The sequence below is a fragment of the Homo sapiens genome, chromosome 5, assembly GCF_000001405.40.
Source record: "Homo sapiens chromosome 5, GRCh38.p14 Primary Assembly".
Taxonomy (NCBI): Eukaryota; Metazoa; Chordata; class Mammalia; order Primates; family Hominidae; genus Homo; species Homo sapiens.
The window spans coordinates 79,780,252-79,798,963 of NC_000005.10; the positions used below are offsets into that span (position 1 = coordinate 79,780,252).

General features: G+C 42.8%; 1 protein-coding gene across 1 annotated transcript in view; it reads left to right on the plus strand.

The window, feature by feature from the left end:
* Window positions 1-18,712, plus strand: part of CMYA5 (cardiomyopathy associated 5) — a 110,387-nt gene that overhangs the window by 90,416 nt on the left and 1,259 nt on the right. Inside the window, exons 10-12 of the mRNA NM_153610.5 lie at window positions 8,720-8,853; window positions 10,719-10,818; window positions 13,186-13,359. Of these exons, the coding sequence (NP_705838.3) occupies window positions 8,720-8,853; window positions 10,719-10,818; window positions 13,186-13,359 (408 nt within the window). The remainder of the gene's footprint in view (window positions 1-8,719; window positions 8,854-10,718; window positions 10,819-13,185; window positions 13,360-18,712) is intronic.

The following is an 18,712-nucleotide window of genomic DNA, read 5'->3' on the forward strand; positions in this document are numbered from 1 at the left end:
CTGTTCTGTTCCATTGATCTATATCTCTGTTTTGGTACCAGTACCATGCTGTTTTGGTTACTGTAGCCTTGTAGTATAGTTTGAAGTCAGGTAGTGTGATGCCTCCAGCTTTGTTCTTTTGGCTTAGGATTGACTTGGCGATGCGGGCTCTTTTTTGGTTCCATATGAACTTTAAAGTAGTTTTTTCCAATTCTGTGAAGAAAGTCATTGGTAGCTTGATGGGGATGGCATTGAATCTGTAAATTACCTTGGGCAGTATGGCCATTTTCACGATATTGATTCTTCCTACCCATGAGCATGGAATGTTCTTCCATTTGTTTGTGTCCTCTTTTATTTCCTTGAGCAGTGGTTTGTAGTTCTCCTTGAAGAGGTCCTTCACATCCCTTGTAAGTTGGATTCCTAGGTATTTTATTCTCTTTGAAGCAATTGTGAATGGGAGTTCACTCATGATTTGGCTCTCTGTTTGTCTGTTGTTGGTGTATAAGAATGCTTGTGATTTTTGTACATTGATTTTGTATCCTGAGACTTTGCTGAAGTTGCTTATCAGCTTAAGGAGATTTTGGGCTGAGACGATGGGGTTTTCTAGATAAACAATCATGTCGTCTGCAAACAGGGACAATTTGACTTCCTCTTTTCCTAATTGAATACCCTTTATTTCCTTCTCCTGCCTGATTGCCCTGGCCAGAACTTCCAACACTATGTTGAATAGGAGTGGTGAGAGAGGGCATCCCTGTCTTGTGCCAGTTTTCAAAGGGAATGCTTGCAGTTTTTGCCCATTCAGTATGATATTGGCTGTGGGTTTGTCATAGATAGCTCTTATTATTTTGAAATACGTCCCATCAATACCTAATTTATTGAGAGTTTTTAGCATGAAGGGTTGTTGAATTTTGTCAAAGGCTTTTTCTGCATCTATTGAGATAATCATGTGGTTTTTGTCTTTGGCTCTGTTTATATGCTGGATTACATTTATTGATTTGCGTATATTGAACCAGCCTTGCATCCCAGGGATGAAGCCCACTTGATCATGGTGGATAAGCTTTTTGATGTGCTGCTGGATTCGGTTTGCCAGTATTTTATTGAGGATTTTTGCATCAATGTTCATCAAGGATATTGGTCTAAAATTCTCTTTTTTGGTTGTGTCTCTGCCCGGCTTTGGTATCAGAATGATGCTGGCCTCATAAAATGAGTTAGGGAGGATTCCCTCTTTTTCTATTGATTGGAATAGTTTCAGAAGGAATGGTACCAGTTCCTCCTTGTACCTCTGGTAGAATTCGGCTGTGAATCCATCTGGTCCTGGACTCTTTTTGGTTGGTAAACTATTGATTATTGCCACAATTTCAGAGCCTGTTATTGGTCTATTCAGAGATTCAACTTCTTCCTGGTTTAGTCTTGGGAGAGTGTATGTGTCCAGGAATGTATCCATTTCTTCTAGATTTTCTAGTTTATTTGCGTAGAGGTGTTTGTAGGATTCTCTGATGGTAGTTTGTATTTCTGTGGGATCGGTGGTGATATCCCCTTTATCATTTTTTATTGTGTCTATTTGATTCTTCTCTCTTTTTTTCTTTATTAGTCTTGCTAGCGGTCTATCAATTTTGTTGATCCTTTCAAAAAACCAGCTCCTGGATTCATTGATTTTTTGAAGGGTTTTTTGTGTCTCTATTTCCTTCAGTTCTGCTCTGATTTTAGTTATTTCTTGCCTTCTGCTAGCTTTTGAATGTGTTTGCTCTTGCTTTTCTAGTTCTTTTAATTGTGATGTTAGGGTGTCAATTTTGGATCTTTCCTGCTTTCTCTTGTAGGCATTTAGTGCTATAAATTTCCCTCTACACACTGCTTTGAATGCGTCCCAGAGATTCTGGTATGTGGTGTCTTTGTTCTCGTTGGTTTCAAAGAACATCTTTATTTCTGCCTTCATTTCGTTATGTACCCAGTAGTCATTCAGGAGCAGGTTGTTCAGTTTCCATGTAGTTGAGCGGCTTTGAGTGAGATTCTTAATCCTGAGTTCTAGTTTGATTGCACTGTGGTCTGAGAGATAGTTTGTTATAATTTCTGTTCTTTTACATTTGCTGAGGAGAGCTTTACTTCCAACTATGTGGTCAATTTTGGAATAGGTGTGGTGTGGTGCTGAAAAAAATGTATATTCTGTTGATTTGGGGTGGAGAGTTCTGTAGATGTCTATTAGGTCTGCTTGGTGCAGAGCTGAGTTCAATTCCTGGGTATTCTTGTTGACTTTCTGTCTCGTTGATCTGTCTAATGTTGACAGTGGGGTGTTAAAGTCTTCCATTATTAATGTGTGGGAGTCTAAGTCTCTTTGTAGGTCACTCAGGACTTGCTTTATGAATCTGGGTGCTCCTGTATTGGGTGCATAAATATTTAGGATAGTTAGCTCCTCTTGTTGAATTGATCCCTTTACCATTATGTAATGGCCTTCTTTGTCTCTTTTGATCTTTGTTGGTTTAAAGTCTGTTTTATCAGAGACTAGGATTGCAACCCCTGCCTTTTTTTGTTTTCCATTGGCTTGGTAGATCTTCCTCCATCCTTTTATTTTGAGCCTATGTGTGTCTCTGCACGTGAGATGGGTTTCCTGAATACAGCACACTGATGGATCTTGACTCTTTATCCAACTTGCCAGTCTGTGTCTTTTAATTGCAGAATTTAGTCCATTTATATTTAAAGTTAATATTGTTATGTGTGAATTTGATCCTGTCATTATGATGTTAGCTGGTGATTTTGCTCATTAGTTGATGCAGTTTCTTCCTAGTCTCGATGGTCTTTACATTTTGGCATGATTTTGCAGCGGCTGGTACCGGTTGTTCCTTTCCATGTTTAGCGCTTCCTTCAGGAGCTCTTTTAGGGCAGGCCTGGTGATGACAAAATCTCTCAGCATTTGCTTGTCTATAAAGTATTTTATTTCTCCTTCACTTATGAAGCTTAGTTTGGCTGGATATGAAATTCTGGGTTGAAAATTCTTTTCTTTAAGAATGTTGAATATTGGCCCCCACTCTCTCCTGGCTTGTAGGGTTTCTGCCGAGAGATCCGCTGTTAGTCTGATGGGCTTTCCTTTGAGGGTAACCCGACCTTTCTCTCTGGCTGCCCTTAACATTTTTTCCTTCATTTCAACTTTGGTGAATCTGACAATTATGTGTCTTGGAGTTGCTCTTCTCGAGGAGTATCTTTGTGGCGTTCTCTGTATTTCCTGAATCTGAATGTTGGCCTGCCTTGCTAGATTGGGGAAGTTCTCCTGGATAATATCCTGCAGAGTGTTTTCCAACTTGGTTCCATTCTCCACATCACTTTCAGGTACACCAATCAGACGTAGATTTGGTCTTTTCACATAGTCCCATATTTCTTGGAGGCTTTGCTCATTTCTTTTTATTCTTTTTTCTCTAAACTTCCCTTCTCGCTTCATTTCATTCATTTCATCTTCCATTGCTGATACCCTTTCTTCCAGTTGATCGCATCGGCTCCTGAGGCTTCTGCATTCTTCACGTAGTTCTCGAGCCTTGGTTTTCAGCTCCATCAGCTCCTTTAAGCACTTCTCTGTATTGGTTATTCTAGTTATACATTCTTCTAAATTTTTTTCAAAGTTTTCAACTTCTTTGCCTTTGGTTTGAATGTCCTCCCGTAGCTCAGAGTAATTTGATCGTCTGAAGCCTTCTTCTCTCAGCTCGTCAAAATCATTCTCCATCCAGCTTTGTTCCGTTGCTGGTGAGGAACTGCGTTCCTTTGGAGGAGGAGAGGCGCTCTGCATTTTAGAGTTTCCAGTTTTTCTGTTCTGTTTTTTCCCCATCTTTGTGGTTTTATCTACTTTTGGTCTTTGATGATGGTGATGTACAGATGGGTTTTCGGTGTAGATGTCCTTTCTGGTTGTTAGTTTTCCTTCTAACAGACAGGACCCTCAGCTGCAGGTCTGTTGGAATACCCTGCCGTGTGAGGTGTCAGTGTGCCCCTGCTGGGGGGTGCCTCCCAGTTAGGCTGCTCGGGGGTCAGGGGTCAGGGACCCACTTGAGGAGGCAGTCTGCCCGTTCTCAGATCTCCAGCTGCGTGCTGGGAGAACCACTGCTCTCTTCAAAGCTGTCAGACAGGGACACTTAAGTCTGCAGAGGTTACTGCTGTCTTTTTGTTTGTCTGTGCCCTGCCCCCAGAGGTGGAGCCTACAGAGGCAGGCAGGCCTCCTTGAGCTGTGGTGGGCTCCACCCAGTTCGAGCTTCCCGGCTGCTTTGTTTACCTAAGCAAGCCTGGGCAATGGCGGGAGCCCCTCCCCCAGCCTCGCTGCCGCCTTGCAGTTTGATCTCAGACTGCTGTGCTAGCAATCAGCGAGATTCCGTGGGCGTAGGACCCTCTGAGCCAGGTGTGGGATATAGTCTCGTGGTGCGCCGTTTCTTAAGCCGGTCTGAAAAGCGCAATATTCGGGTGGGAGTGACCCGATTTTCCAGGTGCGTCCGTCACCCCTTTCTTTGACTCGGAAAGGGAACTCCCTGACCCCTTGCGCTTCCCAGGTGAGGCAATGCCTCGCCCTGCTTCGGCTCGCTCACGGTGCGCGCACACACTGGCCTGCGCCCACTGTCTGGCACTCCCTAGTGAGATGAACCCGGTACCTCAGATGGAAATGCAGAAATCACCCGTCTTCTGCGTCGCTCACGCTGGGAGCTGTAGACCGGAGCTGTTCCTATTCGGCCATCTTGGCTCCCAGTAATTTCATTTTTAAAAACTAGGTATTTTATCATCTGGAATTTATCTCAGTAGATTGTGTGAAGTAGGAAATCCTACTTTTTTTTTTTTTTTAGTATGGCTATCTAGCTGTCCCATCAGGAAAACCCATCATTTTCCCTTCTGATCTGAAATACTTCCATTATTATACACTCAAGAGACTATATGTTTGGGTCTATTCCTGACCTTTATAATCTGTCTATTGATCCATCTATTTATGCCCCAGGACCATACTGGTTTTATTATTGTAGCTTTATAATTTAGAATTCCTGGTAGATTAGGTTGCCGCTTCCTGACTTTTTTTTTCTATTTGCTAGTTTGTATTTGATATGATCTTTAGAATCAGGATGCGTAGCCTCCTCCATCAGCCTGCTCCTGACTATTTGTTATTTTTAGAGATCATGTTAAATTTATAGATTAACTTAGGGAGAATTGAAATTTTTATGATGTTGCATTTTCCTATCCAAGAACTGATGTGCCTTTCCCTTCACTCAAGTCTTTTTTTGTTTCCCTCAGTAGCATCTTAAAAAATGTTCTTTATATAGATCTTATATCTTTATATATTTTTATGTCTGTCACTATTCTAAATAAGATTTTTCATTTTATCTCCTATCTAGTTGTTATTTGTATATAAAGGCTTTTGATTTCTTGTATCAGTTTTATATCTAGCCATCTTACTGAATTCTCTTATTATGTAAGAGTTTTTCAACTGATTTTCTTGGGTTCTCTAGATAAATGGTCCCATCATCTGCAAATGGTAGTAATTTTACCTCCTCCCTCCCAGTGTTTTTAACCTCATGTTTCTCTCTGACTTAATGGGAATGCTTTTAATATCCCCCTTAACCATTATGACCCCAATTATTTTTTACTTCGTAAAAATCCTTTTCAATTCCTACCAAAAATGATTCTGACCCCATTGTGCACCTTAGTCATGGCAAACTTTCCAGTTGCTCCTTGCCAAAACTCAAGAATAAAAGGGCCCAAGCTAGAGAGGCTGTCCTCACAAGCATCAGCTGCTGGGGGCTTCCACTCATTTTCCTCTGAAACAACAGAGAAAGAGACCATCTCTCATTCGCAGAGCAGCCCAAGGCCTTCTGAGGAGACAGTGAGTCTCCTCTAAGTCATTTCTCTCTGCTTTGTAGCAGTGGAGCTACCAAGGGTGAGATGAGCAGGTTGAGAGGCCTCTGAAGCCTGCTGGGCACAATGCTCTGTGATAAGTTTCAGCTCCACTGGAGCTTATCATCCACCAGCAATCGACTTCATGGCTGCTGCTCAGAGGCTCTAGGTGCTGCGCTGCTCACTGCCCTCACGTCTCTGGGACTTCCACACATAAAGCCATCTCTTTCCATTGCACTATGGCACTTGTAGGGAGGATCCCACACTTAGGGCCCAAAATGAGACCATTTGAGTCAAATTTCTAATTGTCTTTCAAATTTTATTATTGGCTGTAGACTTCCAATCATAGTCACATCAGTCGTGTTATTTACTGGTATAAAATCCCTAAGCACCAACTAAGTACCAACAATCGTGGCCTCATTTGCTGTCTGATCACTCACCTTAGTTTGGGTATTCTGTGAACTTGAATTCTACTGCAAACTATGCAATGCTTGTTATAAGTCATATGGACTTAGTTACAATTAGGACAAATTTTTGTTTCTAAAATTAAAAAAATCATAATCTCTGGAAGAGTGCTACTCTTTAGATCTCAAATTCCAGAATTTTTGAAGTTTTTGTTAGGCTAAAAAGCAGGGACAGCTGACATGAAGACTTTGGTGACATCTGAGTGGAGTCAGAATAAGTAGACAAGGAAACGAACCATTTGTTCTAACCTTTTTTGCTTTGTTCTTGGTGCTTGAGCATAAGGTGGCAACTTGTATACAATAAAACACCACCACATTTCGTATTACTTTTGTTTGCGTGCCTGCTGCTTTTATTTCACAGATTCAATGAGGACATTGTGCACATTTGTCAAATCTGCCTGACCTGTTTCATGCACTGAAAGCAGGACGGATCCCATATTTTGACTTCAGTACCATGTAAACCTTTATTCTTTAAATGAGCAATGAGACAGAGCATGCAGTTGACTATATATGTGGAATTTTCTCCTTGACAGACTTCATCATCTTAAGGGCAAACACTTACCTACAAAACAGTATCCTTGCTGTTTAACAACTGTGTTGTTATAAAATGAAGCCAGTGTGTTGTCTTTGTCTCTAAAGCTAAAATTTCCCCACCAATCCTTGTCACTTTTCCCCTTCCCACCCCCGCCTCCTCAACAAGCCCTCAGAATAACAGGCAGAGACAGGGCCTGGGCACATGATAAGTGATCAATACATATTTATTTAGGGAGCAAATGAAGTCTGAAATTCAGTTCAGGCTGACTATGCTTAGTGAGACAATAATTTTGTTACTAATTATAATTAATGTTCATTTAAAACATTTCTTCAGTCATCAATTCCAATAAGATAAGCAATACATCTACCCCAGAATAATATTCTAGATATTAGTCAGAAATTACATTCTCAATCATAGGACATGGTTTTTCATTAATTAACTGAAGCCTAATTAGTTGTCAGTGGACGTGGGACTCAGTGTCATTGATCCAGTCTGAGTGTATCTAAGGACAGTCCTCTCCTGAGGGCCTGGTCAGGTGATCAGTTCTAAAATAACAACCAATATGATTCAAGGAGTTTGCACTGACCTTTTCCAGACATTGGCACTAAACAGCAGTTACACAAGCAGGTCCAGGGTGTCCCCTTACCCCTGCCTTCTGAGGAGCACAACATGAGTTTTGTCCTTTTAGACATGGGGTCAGGGTGGGGTGGTTATTCTGTACAAATGTTTTGCTTTTAAGAAGTTTGAAATTTGTTTGTTTTCTGGGCCAAGAACATTTTTTCGTTTTTCTGGTTCTCCATGTTATTCTCTAAGACAGGTATTAGGAAGTGAAATAAGTCAGCAAAAGTAGAAATAACCTGGAAAAAAATTCATCTGTGGATGAACAGTGACCACTCTTGGATTCTGATGCTTTTGTGGTATATTCATCAATAACAAAAAAAAACAAAGACAAACAAAAAACCCTACCCTTCTGAGAATGAACATGAAGGCTATTGTACTATTGTATTCATTGACAATTATATCTCCTTGCAGGACTCTGGCTCTCCAGCACCCAGGTTAGGAACTTTCATTAGCAAGGAATCTAACTTGTAACTCTAAGGACTCTCCAAATGGAGGTTTAAAGAAAGAGCCCTGCTTGCTTTTTTTTTTTTTTTCTTAATTCATGCTCTAGGCTATGATATCAAACAGATTAAAGAGAATAGGAAAGAAGCACAAAACTATTCTAGCTTGTTGGCAGATTCAGAGAGCTCCGTCTTCAAATCCAGCAAGTCCATTTGTATTAAGTGGTGGGGCTGTTAACAGTGTACTTGCCAAGCCCACTGCCAATTAGACACCACTATCAGCATTTTTCTTTTAATTTAAATAGGCAATTTAGGAACAGCAACTTTGAGAATTTTTTTTTTTTTTTTTTGCAATTAGAATTCTCTTTTCTTGCCAAGATCGAGTTTGCTTTAAAAGATTTCATCTTCTTTAAAGATCTTTGGTTTCTATTAACTTTGGTGGCTTTAGCATGATGATCATGTACAAAATCATCGTAGATTGGTTTAATATCATCTTAATCCAAAAGTGCCCTCTGGCCAGAAATTGATAAAGAAAATGATATATTCTTGGAGATTCACTAACCACAAGAGTAGTCTGTTTTCTGAATTTTTTTAAGTGTCTGGTTCTGTTGCAAAGAGCATTCTGGAAGGCACATAATAGAAATTATTTGATAAAGTAATCTTAGTGGACAATGGCCATTTTGTAGGACCTGGCTTGCTAATCCAGTGGTCATAAAAGGGGAAGAAAATAAGTTATTTGTTGCTAATAAAAGATGTTCATTCACTACCAAATTGAAATAGGAATCATTTAGCATGTGGCATTATGTTTAAAATTATTATTTTCCTCTTGTATTTAGATCTTTCTCTGGAATCAAAGGACTCCAGCTGAAAGTTAACCTCCAACCCAATGATAACTACTTTTTCTATGTGAGGGCCATCAATGCATTTGGGACAAGTGAACAGAGTGAAGCTGCTCTCATCTCCACCAGAGGTACTTTCTCCTTTGCACACAGTGAGCTATTTCCAAGCTATTTCTTCCCTTCCACCCCTCAGAGAAGATGTCCTAGAGGGCAACTTTATAAACTCCCAACCTACTGTCAGTGGTAGGTTTTTGTCATGAGGACCCAAGGTTGGTCAAAGGTCAAGATATTTCTTTTGTTTTTCTGCTTTACAGGTTCTCAGCCTTGGCTACCTGTTAGCAATCAGCCAGGGTGCTTAAAAAATACTGTTTCCCTGCCTCCACTCCTGAAGATCCTGATTTAATTGATCTGGAGATGGGCTCAAACATTTATGTTTTTAGAAATCTCTCTAGATGATTTTTTTTTTTTTGAGACAGAGTCTCACTCTGTCGCCTAGGCTAGAGTGAAGTGGCATGATCTTGGCTCACTGCACCCTCTGCCTCCTAGGTTCAAGTGATTCTCATGCCTCAGCCTCTCAAGTAGCTGGAATTACAGGCACGTCCACCATGCCTGGCTAATTTTTGGATTGTTTTAGTAGAGATGGTTTTTGCCATGTTGGCCAGGCTGGTCTCAAAGTCCTGACCTCAGGTGATCTGCCCGCCTCAGCCTCCCAAAGTTCTGGGATTACAGGTGTGAGCCACCATGCCTGGCCTCTCCAGATGATTTTTATCAGACTCACAATGTGTTATAATTTGTGGATATGGTGTGTGTATGTGTGGTAGGTTGGGGATATTCTTTGAACTCTGTGAACAAGTTACCAGCCTTGTTCTGTTTATTCTTGATGCCTGGCACATAATTTGTGATAGTTAATGTTTGTTGAATGAATGACCAAAAGAGTAATTCAAGGAAGTGATAAAACTATTCAATGACATTTTTGGGAAAATACCTAGATGATGCCAACAAAAAATGTTTGTCTCTGCAATTTTTGTGAAAGGAAGTGAGGAATGGAAAGAGGACCATTTTATTATCTTATCCTAGACACAGAGCTGGCACAAGGTTGAGTGGGCGCAACAAGCGATCGGCTTACCCAGAAACATCTTGTGCTTTTGCCTCGTTTGTAAGATAGTCAGGGCCAGCCTGATGTTTATGAAGAGAAGATGCGAGGGCTGTCTTCCCAGCAGTGTTCTCCCCACAGTCCCAATATGGTGCCTGTCCTTCCATTGTTAGAGTCTCTCCTTTAGGTTATATCGGTGCATCCCCCATTTTTTTTTTTCTCGAATGGAGTCTTGCTCTGTTGCCCAGGCTGGAGTGCAATGGCACGATCTCGGCTCACTGCAATCTCTGCCTCTTGGGTTCAAGCTACTCTCCTGTCTCAGCCTCCTGAGTAGCTGGGATTACAGGTGCGCACCACCATGCCTGGCTAATTTTTTGTATTTTTGGTAGAGACGGGGTTTCACCATGTTGGCCAGGCTGGTCTCGAGCTCCTGACCTTGTGATCTGCCCACCTTGGCCTCCCAAAGTGCTGGGATTACAGGCGTGAGCCACCTCACCCGGCCTGTATCCCCCAATTTTAATATGCACACAGATTTCCTGAGGATCTTGTTAAAATACAGATTTGAAGTCAGGAGGGCTGCGGTGGGGTCCGAGAGTCTGAATTTGTAACTAGTTTCCAGGTGATGTAGATGCTGCTGGTGCAAGGAGCACACTGCACAGCAGATGAGCACTAATAGAGGGTACACCGTGAGGACGTGCCTATGGCACCACGTAGAGGTAACCAGCCACCGGCATCCACGAAGGCCTTATCATGAGTGAAGTTTTCAGCTGTGGATCTGAAGACACTTCGTGGGGGATTTTGACGTCAGGGGAAAGAGTCTAGGGTCTGAAATGTGGGGCTTAGCCTAGGGACAGCACTGGTCCTTGTGGCAATGTTTTAATACTATTTTCTCACCTGCAATAGGAACCAGATTTCTCTTGTTGAGAGAAACAGCTCATCCTGCTCTACACATTTCCTCAAGTGGGACAGTGATCAGCTTTGGTGAGAGGAGACGGCTGACGGAGTAAGTAGAAGAAGAAAGCACAAGTGGGCTGATGGCCCAGCAGTAGGGTCTTAGGGTGTGTCGCCTCAGGGTGGCCTCCGCTGAGCATATTCATGGTGCAGTGAACATGTCGGGATGTGGTCTCAAATATCAATGTGTGCACATCCACACTGTTCGGCTGTGGTTCCCTACCGAGCGATAGTTCATCACTTGGAGCAAGTGTCAATATTTTTATTGGAAATATAAGCACAGATGGTTTGGTTAAAACATTGGCTATTTTAAGGTATGATCTCTGGTTCAGTGGGGGAAAAAAAGGGTCCAGTAATTCTTTTATTATTTTTCTATAGCAAACCAGATATTTTATCAACCCTCTTGAAAAGGCATAGAAGAGGCTGGGCACAGTGGCTCACTCCTGTAATCCCAGCACTTTGGGAGGCCAAGGCAGGCAGATCATTTGAGTTCAGGAGTTTGAGACCAGCCTGGCCAACATGGTGAGACTCCATCTCTACTAAAAATACAAAAATTAGCCAGGTGTGGTGGTGCACGCCTGTAATCTCAGCTACTCGGAGGCTGAGGCAGGAGAATCACTTGAACCTCGGAGGTGGAGGTTGCAGTGAGCTGAGATTGTGCCATTGCACTCCAGCCTGGGAGTGAGACTCTGTCTCAAAAAAAAAAAAAAAAAAAAGGCATAGAAGAGAAGGACAGTTTATTGAGTTCCTAGTTTCTGGCCACAGAATCTTGCTTCCGTAGTAGCTCCCGCAAAAGGAAGCATCAAAGAAAAGAAGAGGCAAAGGCGGAGGATAGGGTGGAGGAAACTGCCCTGCAATTTGCCTGCAAGCTCTGGGGGTTATTTTGCAGAACAAAATGGCAAAATGGGAGAAGGTATGTGAAACTCTTGAAAACTGTAACACACGGGAAACACAGGCTGCTGATGGTGCTGCTGTGCCCTGGTGTCGGTGGCTGGCAGGTGCTCCCAAGAAGGCACTGAGCCAGCCAGCAGTGACTTTCACTATTTCCCTGTCACATTGCTACTTGCCTGTCTGTGGCCAAGCTCAGGTGTTACCTGCTCCTAGTTCTGGCCAAGGCTTCTCTGGACCCTGGCACCCTTTGATCTTACCTGTGTAAAAGAACAGATAACTTGTGGGGTCATTTGTCAGCCACTTACTCATCATCATCTTCAAGCAGCAGCCCTGTCTTGTGTATCTTTGAATCCCTCAAATCTAGCATGGGGCCTGGAACATTGCAGGGGCTAAAAAATATACAAATGAGTGAATTCAGGGAAAAAATAGATTGAAGAAATAGATTGAGCTTTTCTGTCTTTTGGATTCCTCAAAACATCAAAAAGAAAATAAATAGACTGGAGGAGGGTAAGAGTTCACAGATAATAACTGATGATAACTGTAATGTGTTTTATAGAATTTTATTTATTATTAACCTGAAAATCAGGTCATAAATATCAGACAGCTGGGCCTTGCTCCAGAGTGAGGGCTTGTCAGTAGCCACCTCTCTGAAATGAGGTTGAGTAAAGACATGAAAAGTGGAATACATTCCCTTGCATTAATCATTTTCTCATCTGTTAAAGGGGAGAGGGAGAGAGTGCTGACTGAATATTAACACTGCTTAAATTAAAAATGCTTCCTTGCTGTCTCAGCCATTTCCAAGCAAAATTGAGCAATTCTTGCAAACAAGGTCACCCATCAGCAGTTGAAAGTGCTTTTGGTTCATTTCACTAAGGTGCTTATAAAAATAGCTAAGGTGAGACAAAAAGAAACCTTCAACCAACCTCTTAAGGGCACCTACTACAGTTCAAAGAGGCCAGAATCTTGCAGACTGTTGACCGCTAATTATACTCAGTTAATTCCACACTTGGCACTGGCCAGCACTAGCTACCTTGTCATTTAAGAGCTGCACCTCATTTGGTGGCTGTGTCCAGTAAGGTCAGGAGGCATAGAACTCATGGTTAAAGTTTTGGAGATTTCTTTTTTTGCAAGTTTTGGAAGAAAACTATGCAAATTATGTTTCCTACCTGCTTCCCTTGTATTTATGAAGAGAAGTCACCTTAAAGGCAGAGACTGCAGCATTTCTTTTTGTCCTACCATTATTCTAGTTATTTCCTGATTCCCAGCTCTTTTAAGAGTTGCAGTGTACAACATGCATGTTGTATGTATGTGACTGGCAATATGTCAAATGCCTGTTGAGAGTTTGGAGAGTTCTGTGGTGATCTGGTTAAGGTTAGGGATACAATGAACAGAGTATCTTTAGTTAAATTCCAGCAGTTTCCAAGGGCAGAATCCTGCCTAAACTGTGTGAGTTTGTGAATGTTTATGCTTATGAGATACAGGCCGGCGATTCCTGCACTGAGCATACTCTGATTGACTTCACCCACAGAATCCCGTCAGTGCTGGGTGAGGAGCTGCCTTCCTGTGGCCAGCATTACTGGGAAACCACAGTCACAGACTGCCCAGCATATCGACTCGGCATCTGCTCCAGCTCGGCTGTGCAGGCAGGTGCCCTAGGACAAGGGGAGACCTCATGGTACATGCACTGCTCTGAGCCACAGAGGTAAGCGAGCCCTTCCCCTCCCCTCTTCATCAAAATATTATGCTTGGGTGTCCAGGCAGGGCTCTCTGAGGGACCTGATAAATAGCACCCACTTCCATGCTCAACTTCTGAGCCAACTAAGAAAGAAAACAAGAGTCAAGTATATGGAGATGAAACTCTGACTCTGATTACTGAGGAAGCTGATTTTAGAGTGTGTGAATCATACCTGAAGAGGGTTTCTTATATTAAACCCTATTATGAGGCAGACTTACCCAACCAGAGCCTGGGCCAGGTCAGCTTCCTTGCTCTGCAGGGCAGAGTTGGTGCCTGGAGAAGCAGAGAAGGATGTATGTCTCCCTGGTAGCTAGTGGGTAAGAGATAGGGAAGAGGGAGGGGCAGCTGGGTTTTGCATCACAGTTTTTCCTTCTGAACTCACCACAGGGTGGAGAGAGACCACAAGGGTAATGCTAAAAGGAGTCCCTCCACAGAGAAGGAATCAACAGGAGTGAGGAAGAAGTGGATCTCCAACACCTCCCTCCACATTGGTCCATATCGGGGGTTGGCAAACTATAGCCCATAGGCCACATAGAACCCGCTGCCTGTCTGTGTAAATAAAATTGCAGAAACACAGTCATGCTCTTTTGTTTATGTATTGTATTACACTACAGTGGCAGAGGTGACAGATGTCTGTCAAATCCTAGGATATTTACATCTGTCCCTTTACAGAAAAAGTTTGCCAATCTCTGTTCTATATTACCTGTATTGTTTGGTTGGTTGATGTGAAAAAGCCGTTAGCCTGTGTTAGTCTCAGAGCGATCAGGCAGGTATATTATGATCTGAATATGCTCACAGTATGGTTTAATAGAAAGAACACTGGACTAGGAGCCAGGAATCCAGTTTGAGGTCTGGCTCCATCCTCAATTAGCCTCCTGTTGGCTGTTTGCCATAAGTGGGTTAACCCTTTGAGCATACCTTAAATCATCTAGCTCAGCAGGGGACAGTAATGCCTGGCTTGCTACCTTGTGGGGCTGTGAGGATCACATGAAATCAGGTACAGGGAAGAGCTTAGGAACGGTAAAGTATCATACAAATGTGAGGCATTATTCAAATGTAATCCTTTAAAAAGAAGCCTTCAATGCTTGCAAGTTCCCAGAAAAGGCCCACAGATTGGGATTTTGCATATCTCTGGCTGCACATTTCTCCCTGCATCCTACTTGACAGTTTGATTCTCTGAGATGGTTCATAAGGACACCATCTCCAAGCACTACTTAAAGTCACGTTTCGTCAAGTCAGAGCAATTATGATTAATTGATATTCAGTGCTGTGCAATGCATAAGGACCCAGCCCCTACCCAGAGTTTGAAATCACTCAAACTCAGTTTACAGTTAGTAGATTCAGAGCTGAAACTACATATTAATTTCATGAAAATGTCTGTACACCCTCAAATCTTTAAAAAGCCCACACCAAGGGCTAACCTCCAATAACAAATTCCTAGGCTCTAGAAGACAAAATTATGTATTTTGTTGACCAGTTCAACCTACAGCTTTGGCCTTTGGCTCTTTCAGGCTTGGAGTGGGTGCCATAGATTCTGGGAGAAAGAGTGTGTCCCTTTGTGTGGTCTCAGCACTGACAGGTAGGGTCTCAGGGCCCTCATGTCATCCTTCGAGGGCTTCACATGGGGCACCCTGGCCTCTGGGACTCTGAGAACGCTCCTGTGGCAGCCCCTCCTGTCTTCTACTTTTTCTGGTTTAATGATTTTAAATCAACCTACATCACTCTTGATTCTACTCACAGAATCTAGGTTTTCAGATGTCACAATTGGGAAGGAGGCGTGAAGATCATCTCAGGAGAGTCTGCTGGTTTCCTTCCTGTCCATTCCTAAACTTGCCATGCTAGCTCAAGGCTTCCGCACCTCCTCTGCAGTTTCAGCAGCAGCCACCCAGCCTGCACCCTCACTTCTAGTCTCTACCCACTCGCAACTGGGAAATATTTCTAAAACATCATTTTCATCATGTCCCTGCCTTTTCTGCTCAAAAATCTACAAACATCTACAGTGGTGTCAGAACTTGGGTGGGACCACCTGCAGGACACAGTGAAGAGGGGCAGCCAGGAAGAATGTGGCCAGTCTGGGGCAAGGAGTCCTGAGGGGAGTTACCACCAGAGTCCAAAGGGGTCTGGGCTGAGTGTGGGCCAGAGGTGGGACTCAAGGGAGTAAGGGTCCTCAGTCCACCAGGAGGAGGGGAGGCAGTTCCAAGATCGTGCAAGTGTTTAGAGCCAGGCTTCTGGATGATTATTTTTTGAAGAGACCAGCCAGGTCTCTGTTCAAAGCCAGCCAGGCAGAGAGTCAGGCCCCACGCAGGCAGGCTTGGCTTCAGGCCAGAGTTGAGGTTAGTGGAATGTGTGCTCGGCCAGAAATGGAGACAGAAGCAGGGCTGGTCAGGTTCTGTGTCCTGCAGAACTGGTGGAGACAAGGATTCAGGGAATACCTTTCCCTACTTGGCCTCCCAGGTAGGGATTGGCTCAAGGAATGACCAACGCTGGGCCTGTAGGGACCGGGGACCTTCCAAACAGGGGAGGAGAAATGACACATTTAGGCATTCAGAACCCTCCAGACCAGCGTTATGCAATAGGACCTTCTGCAATAATAGAAAAATGGTGCCACACGTGGCTATTAAACACTAGAAATGTGGCTGGTAGGACTGAAAAACTGAATTTTAAATTTTGTTTAACTTTAATTTTTTTTTTTCATTCGACAAATGTTTATTGAGTACCTGTCCTGTGCCAGGTTATCTTTTAGGCACTAGAGATACACCAGAGTACCAAACAGATCAAGAGTTTCTGTTCTGTGTGTGTGACAGTATATACAGTGGTGCAAACATGGCTCCATGCATCCTTGATCTCCTGGGCTCAAGCAATCCTCCCACATCAACCCCTCTAAGTAGCTAAGGCTATAGGCACGTGGCACCACCCCCAGCTAACTTTTGTATTTTTAGTAGAAACAGATTTTCACCATGTTACCCAGTCTGTCTCTAACTCCTGACCTCAAGGTATCTGCCTGCCTTGGCCTCCCAAAGTGCTGGGATTACAGGCCTGAGCCACCACACTCAGCCCAGACCAAGAGTTTTACCTTCATGAAGCTAATAGTCTACTGACAAAGATAAGAAGAGCATGTTTTAATATATAATAAATGATGTCATTATTTTATATCATTTATTCAACAATTAGTATTATGCATTCATTCTTACATTTAAATAAACATGTCAACGTTACGGATCAATAAAATTTAAAAACTAGGATATTTTATTTTAATTTAATATGTAGCCATTTTCTCAGCTATGCAATGTTGATAAAATATATATGAAAAGTGTGATATGTCTCATGTTTATTCAAATGTAAGAATACATAGATTCATATAAGCTGCACAAAACATAAAAAATGCAGGTATTTTCCAATCTAGAAATGGTTAATTTGCTAACAACCTGTACATACTAATGATCACTACAGCTCCCATTTTCTCCAACCTTAATGCCTCCTTATTCCCAACTCTTTGGTTTGCACTTGCCCTTTGGTTCTTCTCTGCTGTCGGACTGTTCACCAACCATCCATTTATTCATTGCACAAATATGTACTAGGAACCACTGGAGTGAGACCCTCTAGAACTCCTTCACCCTTGTCTCTCAGGACTAGGGCCTCTTGGAAGTTGAAAGAGACCCAAGACTCTTCTACTAATTGGGAACTCTCAAAATACTATTATAAAAAATAAAGAAATGCCAGTTAACAGGGTTATTAAAATTTACTCTAAGGACTTACATTTCACATAGTAATTCTTTTAACAGACACAATTGCAGTGACAAAGGCAATGACTTTATATATGCCCATATCTGAAAGAAATGTCAAAAATTCAAATTTATAAAGCCCTCTGTGAAATATGAGGCCCTATTCAAATGGCCCTCCTGGTCTTGTCTGTCACCTTTTCCTTCTTGGCTGCTGGCACCTTCCTATCTCATTGTCAAGGAGAAGCCACCACACTATCTCCACATCTGAGTATCTCTATCCCATTCTCCACCATTAACTTTAATTTTAATGGAAGTGGCCACACATGTCTAGTGGCTACTATATTAGACAGGGCAAGTCTAGAGCCTGGCCCCTGACTTACTTATCCACGTAACATCCTAAAAGTCACCCCCATGTCCTGTCCAAACCCAAGAGGCCAATGGTGATGTTCTCTGCCACATACGGACTTCTTCAGCCACCTTACCATCACTGCTGCTGCCCTTACTGTGTGGATTTTTCTCCTTCTTTTTCACCTATTCAAGTCCTGCCTGTCCTTTCTGGCTGAGTGTGAGCCCTGTGCTCCCAAAGCCTTCTGTAAGAGCCCAGCTCACACTGCCAGTCCCCATCATTGCTACCTGAAACGTTTAGTCTGTCTTGCAGGTTCCAGAACATCATAGTATTCTGGCATCTCTCTCATTAGCAAGGCATTGAAAAGGTCCTTTATCAACTCAAAAGTCTCACTTATCTCCCCACCACCGTGAACCTCTGCCCTTCCACGTGAGCTTCTTTCTGCAATGAAGTTGCCAACTTGCCATCCCCTAAATACTTGCACTTGAGCTTCTGAGCCTTAAGACAGTTGTTGCAAGTCTTGAAGATCCTCAGCCCTCCCTGCCAGACCCGTCGCTTACCCAGATTCTTAGGTCCAAACTGCCCTGGTGTTGCTGTGCTCCCACCCCTCCAGCCTACACATCCGTCGACCTTTCCCTCATCTCTCTTCTTCCATCTCTCATTCCACTCCTTCCGCTACTTTCAGGGCCCCATTCTCAGTTTCTAAGACTACTGGGAGAAAACCCCAAACTTGTGTTACTTTTTTACATAGAGCAATTTAGCTTTTCTGGTCAGCAGTTTCTCCTTTCCAGCCTGGCCTTGAACCTTTCCCTTCACAACCAAAACAGCTTCATTAAATGTGTCTAGTAAACACTTGAAGATCTACACCCTGAGAGGCATTCCCAGCCGTGGTCCGAGTTTCAAATGTGGGCAGTTTTTCCTTCCTGCTCCATACAGTATGGGATCCCAGAGGGCAAGGACAGCACTTCATGTCCTTCACATGCCCCAGAGTGCCTAGTAAAGTGCTGGATACATGGATATGCACAAGGAATAGTTGTTGAGTTGAATTTGTCTGAATTAAAGAGAGGAATCAAAGGCAACCCCGCTGGTGGCAAGGCTGCAGAAAACCTTGAGAAAATGAAAAGGAGAGTTGGTTTGGGGAAGGGGGAGCAGAAACAAAGGATGAAGTTGGCAAAATAATGAAATATTCCTTAAACTTCATAAAGGCCTTTATGTAAGTTACCTATAAAATTTTAAAACTGTAAAATTAATA